Here is an 8,027-nt window from a genome sequence, read left to right on the forward strand (position 1 = left end):
TTCCTGATGAGGGCCCTCTTCCTGGCTTGCAGACAGACAGTCGCCTTTTTGCTGCATCCTCACACACTGGAGAGTGAGCTCTGGTCTCTCTTCCTTTTCTCATAATGACACTGATCTTATTATGGAGGTCCCACCCTCAGTATCTCATCTAAGCCTAATTACCTCCCAAAGGTCCTGCCTCCAAATACCATCACATAGCGGGTTAGGGCTTCAACATATACATGAATCTGGGGGACACAAATATTCAGTCCTTAACAGACACGTGTATGGTATCAATTTTGTCAGTTACACATCCTAGCTATCAAACACATTCACAACCATTCCAGGTACATCCCTCTTAACTAGCTCAGTTTAAAATAACAAGCAGAACTCACCAAGTCTGCAAAATAACATCAGTACAAGCCTGGTCATTTGAGGCTAAAGTCAAGGGCTTGATGGACAATCAAGCCAGTCAGGCCTGGTAAAGGGATGAAAGAGAAAATTTCACTTACAAGGACACAAATTACTCTTGCACCTAGCATCAGTTAGTAAACCTCAACACGCCAAGCAAGAGAGGGAGGCCTCCCTACAAACACTTGCCACTACCGTAAAAAGAACTCCCTCTATCATCTCTAGCTCCAGACCTCGCCTCCTGCCTCTAAATCCCACTTTTTGCTGGACATCTCTTCTTGGAGGGCTTGTAGTTCAGTTTTGGATTCAACTGAACTCATTACTCCTTGCCATCTCTCTCCAAACTGAGGTTCCCACAACTGCTTACCTCAATGAAAGGTGCCATGACCCATAACAGTCAAAGTGCACTCCCTCTCCTAGATGAACAGGAAGTGGGGTCAATATCTGCAGGCCTCTCCTCTCTCCACCACCCAGTCCTGCCAGGATTTCTGCACTCTGGTACTAGCCTCCCAGCTCACCTTGTTCCCCCCCCTCCTTGTTACCTAGCCCACCTTATGGCCATGGAGCTGTTTCTAAAGTGCAATATGATCACAGCATTCACCTGCTACAAATGCTCCAACCTTCACACAGCTTTCGAGATGAAATACAGACTCCCTTCGCTCAGTGCTCAAGACCCCAAACCCTCAGGTACTTCCCAGCACAACCTTGACTCTAGTCCAACAACTACTGTCAGCGCCCTGGCTGCACTATACCTTTCCAAGCCTTCTAGACTCCAAACTTATGTGTTATCTTATCATGTATTATTGCAATTTTTAAAGTAATGAAAAAAAAAGAAAAAACAAAACCTTGAAGGTGCATGATGAACCAAGTATTCACTCTTTTCTTTCCTCTTTCAGCCACATCTTCTATACCAAAAGAGAATCAAGTATTTCAAATGCCAGCTAAGACTCTTCTCTGGACACAATCTGGCTTTTATAAGTCGATGGTCAGATCCTACCTTTGATTCCTTCTTTGCCTTTCTAAGGCTGACATGTCTCAAATGCAGGAAAAATTGCTGTTTTTTTTTAATAAAAAAGATTGTATTTACTTAGAAGCATTCATTATGTCAACAAAACAGCCACAACTTTTTTTTTTTGAAATTACAGAAGTGTTCAGTTAGCAGAACATTCACATAAGCTGCATCAGAGACAACTGAAGATGAAAACACTACTAACCCCATATATTGACTAATTTGTGCTGTGCACCAACGACAGCCTGCTTTAAATTTACATGCCAGTTTACAAGCCCCATACTGTATCAGGAGAGGTTAGTGGCTATTGAAAATATCATCAGGGTCGGGCATGGTGGCTCACGCCTGTAATCTCAGCACTTTGGGAGGCCAAGGCAGGCAGATCCCTTGAGGTCAGGAGTTCGAGACCAGCCTGGCCAACATGGTGAAACCCCATCTCTACTAAAAATACAAAAAATTAGCCAGGTGTGGTGGCGTGCACCTGTAGTCCCAGCTACTCAGGAGGCTGAGATGGGAGAATCGCTTGAACCCAGGAGGACAAGGTTGCAGTGAGCTGAGATCATGCCATTGTACTCCAGCCTGGGTGACAGAGAGAGACTTCATCTCAAAAGGAAAATAAAATAAAATACCACCAGCACAGGGTATCTAAAGATAACATTTGGTAGTGTGTTAACTATACAAAAAAGACAATGTACAATTTCAAAACAATTGTTACATAGTCTTCCATTTCAATTTCTTTAAAAGAAGTGAAATGCATACAGGGAGTTGAAATGCTTTATAGATAAGAAAAAAAAACTGTGCTAGAACCAACTTATTCATCATCATCTTCATCTTCCTCCTCTTCCTTCTTTTTCTTGCTTTTTTCAGCCTTGACAACTCACTTTTTTGCTGCATCAGGCTTTCCTTTAGCTCACTATGCAGCAATATCCTTTTCATATTTTTCCTTCAGCTTCACAGCCTTTTCATAAGGCTGCTTATCATCTGCGGCAGTGCCCTTCCACATCTCTTCCAATTTCTTTACAACTCACCAATGGTAGGCCGGGATGTTCTGCTTTGATTTTTGGGCGACACTCAGAATAGAACAAGAAAAAGGCCAGAGGAGGCCTCTTGGGTACATTGGGATCCTCGAACTTCTTTTTTGTCTCCCATTTAGGAAGGACATAGGTTTTCATTTCTCTTTCATAATGGGTCTTGTCCATCTTTGACATGTCTTCAAATCTCACTTTCTCTTTAGCAGACATGGTCTTGCACCTCTCTGAGCATTTCTTAGAAAACTCTGAGGAGCTGACTGAGCATCTGGGTGCTTCTTCTTGTGCTCCTCCCAACAAGTGTGGACAAAGAATGCATATCACATTTTACCTCTCAGCTTCCTTGGATCTCCTTTGCCCATGTTTAGTTCTTTTTTTCCTCAGTGAGCCACAGAGTCGCCCAGTGCCTGTCTGGCTCTCACTTGCCCCAGGGCTGTCTCTATGGTGCTCAGTACACTGCAAGCTGTTTGTTTTCATTGCATGCGAAACAATTTGATTCACTGGCCAGTAGTTGTGCTCAGCCACTAAAACTGAATACTTTCTAAAGTACAGAAACAAATAGGCCTCCCCTTCTCCCTTTGGAAGACCCACAGGACTAGCCATACCCTGCTACCACCCCCAGCCCCAGCCAGATCACTTCCCTCTGACCAGGCTGGAGAGTGGAAGGCAAGGACACCCAACATGCTGCATTCCAGTACAGCTCTTCTGAGTCAAAAAGGGAGCTTCCAGGGTCTATGGAAGTCCTTTGAAAACAGAGGTGTATGGGTTTTTTTTTTTTCTTCTAATGTGTACTCTGTAAGAGTAGAGGCCTACTCTTGGTACTTGCTGTGTTACCAGAGCCCAGAACAGAGCCTGGCCCAAGGGAGTGGCTCCCTAGGTATTTGCTGAATGACTGGATAAATGAAGGAACAAACAGGCACTCTCCCTAAATTAGCAGAGTTCTTCTTCTCAAGAAGTACTATTGTGCTAAGAATGTCTTCAGTTCACTTTTCTCTTGGGCACAATCTTAGCAAAAACTGGGAATTGCATCATTAACCCCAAGATAGACAGACAGATGCATACACACACACACACACACACACACACACACACACACACACACACACACATTTTTTTTGAGATAGCGTCTTGCTCTGTCACCCAGACTGGAGTGCAATGGTGCCGTCTCAGCTCGCTGTAACCTCCGCCACCCGGGTTCAAGCGATTCTCCTACCTCAGCCTCCTGAGTAGCTGGGACTACAGATGCATGCCACCACACCCGGCTAATTTTTGTCTTTTTAGTAGAGACAGGCTTTCGCTATGTTGGCCAGGGTGGTCTCGAACCCCTGACCTCGTGATCCACCCACCTCAGCCCCCCAAAGTGCTGGGATTACAGGTGTGAGCCACTGTGGGCCCAGCCCCCAAGGCATATATTAAAGCTTTTTGGAGTAAATTCTAGAGATCAGCTATTTGCTTCTTGTTTGTATCTAAGAGCAGTAAGCATTGGGTAAAATGTTGCTTTTAAGAGTCCCAAGAGAGGCACTTATCATGTTCATTACTATAGTTTTCTTTCTACCTAAAATAAAATTTGGATATTCACTTTGGTGGGACCTAATACCTGAAGCTGCCATTGCAACAGGACATGTAGCTTGGAATTGCAAGCCACATCTGGGTTCTACCTCTAGACCCAAATACTGCCTGCACTACAAACTCCCTGGAAATGGAGGCCCAGAAAAGGCTAATCAGAATGAGCCAAAAGGATGCAGCTTGCAAGTTCCAGAAAGATCAGTGTTTTTGAGTGTAGGCTGGCAGGGCATGGGTCCAGACTCAACTCAGAGCCACTGACTCTAAAACCAGGTATCTCTGCATTATAGCTGTTTAACAGGCACCACTTTTTCCTAGGGATTTGGAATACCTGATAATCATCAGTAACACTTTCTGAGCACTTAGCGTGAGGAACCATCCTAAGTCCTGCACAAAAGCAATCAGTTAATCTTCAAGGGAATTATCCGAGCTGAATTATTATCATCACCATTTTATAGACACAGAAACAGAGAAATTAAATAACATGCCCAAGGTTTAGGTACATCTGGGAGCCCAATAGCCCAAATTTGGGTCTCCTATATTTGGGTTTACCACTTCATCAATTCTTTGCAGTAAAGAAGTTGAGAAGCTGTATATAGTGTTCATTAAAAATAAATATGTAGTTTTTTATATATTGTTTTTCTATCATCTCCTACTATGGACTTTTCCTCCCTGCCCAAACACTGGGTGCCATCAACACCGAGCCCATGCATACGGTGAACAGCATACATTACTTCTTCCAGAAGGCACTGCTTTGTTCTCATCTACAAAAATCCTTCTTCCTTCCTATAGACAAATGACTGGTTCACATATCATGACTCAATTTATATTCAACAATGTTCATTTGCAGTGTAATTATTCTTCCTAATTAGGCTGCTCTGAAGACAAATGACTGCCCCTCCCCATCCCCCTCTCCTACAACACACAATGTCTTTTTCCTGATATAAAATGTTTGCTGCACCCTTTGCAAACCACAAGAAGCCACAGTCTGCTCTCCATGTGACCACTTAGAGAAAAATACTATTATAAGATAGTGTTTTATCTGATATTACTTCAAAATCAGAATCAGATTTCTAACAGATCAATAAGCTTATCACAGTATGACAGCAAAAAGAAATGAGACTCTTGGATTCTATTTCTCTTTCCTATCTTAAAAAACATTTCCTCTTCCCGCGAACATGTGTTCTCTATCTCTTAAATTTAAAAAGGAGTAGTTTCTAAAAGAGAACCAGTAGGAAAGAATCAGGAATACCAGCAAAAGTCAACATCAAAGAAGTCAGTATCTGATCCTCTCTTAAACCTAGCAGGAGTGGAGCTCTCTGGCCAAGGGGTAAGGCAAAAGCAATGTGCAGGTTATAAATGTCCCTTCAAGCTCAGTTACTCCGGTTTACCTCTCTGGGGTGAGCCTCTAACAGCTCTGGCTCGCCGGAATCTTTCCTCCCTCGGCTCCAGCACACACTTTCCATAGCGGCCGCGTTGCAATTTCAAAGAGTTCTCCTTTCCACGTAGGTCACCCACCGATGGTAACCTACATGCACAAACACACTCGCACAATCACAACAGAGAAAATGGGACATACAGGAAATGGCCCGGGTGGAGGCGAGGACGGGGGTGGGGATAGGACTTTGTCTTTACTCTGGTGTTGCTCCCATTGAAACAAGCACATGGACTTTCATGGAACTCATGACCATCCTGAAATAACAGAAAAGTCGAACGGGATTGAAGAAAATCCTTTGCTTTTCTAAGTTCGAAGAACACTGGGCCGCTGAATGGAAGGGAAAAGAAAAAAAAAAACTGTGTGCCTAAAAACATCCAGAAACACACGCAGAGTCTCCCCAGTCCTTTGCCCAGCCCGTGGGCTCAAGCCGCCCATCCCAGATGCGGTCTTCCCCACTCCACGCCCACCTCTTCCAGCCCGCACCCCAAATCACTGAGCTGCCCACAAAAATGCAGTCCAGATTTGAGAAGCAGCTGACGTCTGTGGCCAGAGTGACCCACACGCCACGGACCAGGGACAGCAGGGGCGACCACGGGGCGGCCCCCAGGGAGCGGTGCCAGGCGCGCTGGAACCCGGCGCCCAGCTGCGCCTGGGACCCACGCGCCGCCGTCCGAAGCCCGCCAGCGACGCCCAGAGAGCAGGGCTCGCGCCGGCTTCCCGAGGAGACGCTGTTCCCGGCACAACTTTTTTCCACTTCTGCGGCCGCCGGCGGCGCTGAGAAGCAGCTGTTCCCTTCCCATTCCCAGCACCCAACGCCCATCCCGCAGCACCTCCGACCGCTCGGCGCGGTCTCCCAGGGCGCCGAAGCGAAGTTCCCGCGCCAGCCGCGGCTCAAGCAGCCAGGGCTCGGCCGGCCGCAACGGCTCCCCATGCGCCCGCGCGGGGCGCCCACCTGGCCGGGCCCACCGGCTCTCCCCTCCCGCAGCGCGCGCGGGCCCGACGCCTGCCACTCACCCGGCCCCAGCTCGGCGTCTCCGGCTCCGAGCCCGCAGCCTTCCCCAAGTCAGGGCTTTCAGTGACGCCTCCTCGCAGCCACCTCGCTCTTGCCCCCGCTGGCCGCGCCTGGAAGAAGGAGGCGGGAGGAGAGCGAGAGGAGAGCGGGAGGAGGCGGCGGGAGAGGGGGGCAACGCAAGGGAGGGGAGAGGGTCCGCGGCGCGGGGGAGGAGGCAGCGAGGCGAGAGAGCGCCAAGCTCGGCGGCCGCCCGGGCTAGCACTCGGGGAGAGGGAGGAGGAGGAGGGGCGGGGGCAGCGAGAGAAAGAGGCGGCCGAGCCGCCCTGCCCAGGCCCCGGCCCCGCGCCGCTGCCCAGTCACCATCGCCGCCTCCGTCCCGCGAGCGGGCCGGGCGTCCGGGGGAGGGGTCGGGCTCGGGGCTCCCGGCGCGGCGCGCGGGGCGGGACGGGGGCGGCGGGCGGGCGGACCAGGCCCGGCCTCCGGAGGGGAGTGTCCTGCGGGTCCGGGAGGGAGTCGGCGACAGGGGATCCCCGAGAGGGGGTGTGGGGGCCTGGGAACCGGTCCCTGAGCCCGCCGGGCAGCGGCGGCGGCGTCTCCCGGGGTCCTGCGAGGTTCCTCCGGGCCGCACCGGGGAAGCTCCCGGAGCAGCTTCGAGCAGCCCTGCCGGGAGGGCCGGAGGCGGAGAGCGGCGCTGACGGAGCCGGGGGAGAGAGGCCAGGCTGCTCCGGCGGAGAGCGGGCCCCGGGGCGCTAGGAGCAGTTCCCCCAGACCCGGGCCCAAGCGGAAAGAACGGCCGTCTGGTGACCCCGGAGAGTCCGAAACGGGAAAGGGGCCAAGGGGCGCCTGGACCCCCATCCTCGCCGCCCTCTTCCGGAGAGGAGGCTCCGGACATAAGTTCCCGTGCCCTCTGAATATCTAGGTGTGGAAACTCAATTCCAACAGTCACAAAGATTATTCCTAAATAGAATGCTTGGTGTCCTCAGCTTCCCTGCCCTCAAAATTACGGTTTCAGGATGATTTTCGGAGGCGCTTTAGGAACAGCCTGAAAAGGCATTCTTGTCCAGAGAGGGGATGCTTTAACTCCCCAGCTCCGCCCCCAGGGCTGGGAGCAAAGAACAGAGTTAAATGGCCATGAATTCAGGTGCCAGTATTGTTTGTGATTGAACTGTTAGGACGTGGCACCTCTCTAGGCAAACCCATCTTGTATTCCACCCCTCGCCACCCCCCCGCCCCCCGCCCAGTCAAATGCTCCCATTCCCAGTTTCTCAGCCCCTTGTCTGGGACACCTCTATCCACCAGTCGCCCAGATTCAGATTAGCAGTCAATTTTGGGCCTCGCTCCTCCACTCCCGGTAGCCAGTCCCATTAGTTCTTCATTTTTAATGCCTTTCCAGGTGCCATGTCCTTTCAAGCCCACTGCCGCCTTTCTGGTTCTCGCTATCTGGCACTGGATGGCGTGAGCGGCCTCCTACCGGTTCTCTGCTGGGGTCCTCTCTACACTTGCATCCATATGCGCAGGCCTACAGGTGAATGGCTCTAGAATACCCCTCAGGCAGGCCACTTCCTGTTCTAGAAGCTTTCTGAGGCA

General features: G+C 50.3%; 1 protein-coding gene and 1 pseudogene across 6 annotated transcripts in view, besides 2 other annotated features; both read right to left on the reverse strand.

Moving 5' to 3' along the window:
* LHFPL2 (LHFPL tetraspan subfamily member 2) overlaps positions 1–6,716 on the reverse strand; it is a 163,543-nt gene extending 156,827 nt beyond the window's left edge. For all 6 annotated transcript variants that reach the window (XR_007058567.1, XM_006714515.3, NM_005779.3 and 3 more), the window contains exon 1: positions 6,443–6,716. The gene's annotated coding sequence lies outside the window, so the exon portion shown is untranslated. The remainder of the gene's footprint in view (positions 1–6,442) is intronic.
* Positions 2,022–2,894, reverse strand: HMGB1P21 (high mobility group box 1 pseudogene 21; annotated as a pseudogene).
* Positions 5,965–6,024: a silencer, noted in NCBI's record as "silent region_16123". NCBI's record gives its function as "represses an Ori minimal core promoter by ATAC-STARR-seq in GM12878 lymphoblastoid cells {active_cell/tissue: GM12878}" and the evidence as "EXISTENCE:reporter gene assay evidence [ECO:0000049][PMID:35858748]".
* Positions 6,315–7,254: a silencer, noted in NCBI's record as "silent region_16124". NCBI's record gives its function as "represses an Ori minimal core promoter by ATAC-STARR-seq in GM12878 lymphoblastoid cells {active_cell/tissue: GM12878}" and the evidence as "EXISTENCE:reporter gene assay evidence [ECO:0000049][PMID:35858748]".

The sequence above is a fragment of the Homo sapiens genome, chromosome 5, assembly GCF_000001405.40.
Source record: "Homo sapiens chromosome 5, GRCh38.p14 Primary Assembly".
Lineage (NCBI taxonomy): Eukaryota > Metazoa > Chordata > Mammalia > Primates > Hominidae > Homo > Homo sapiens.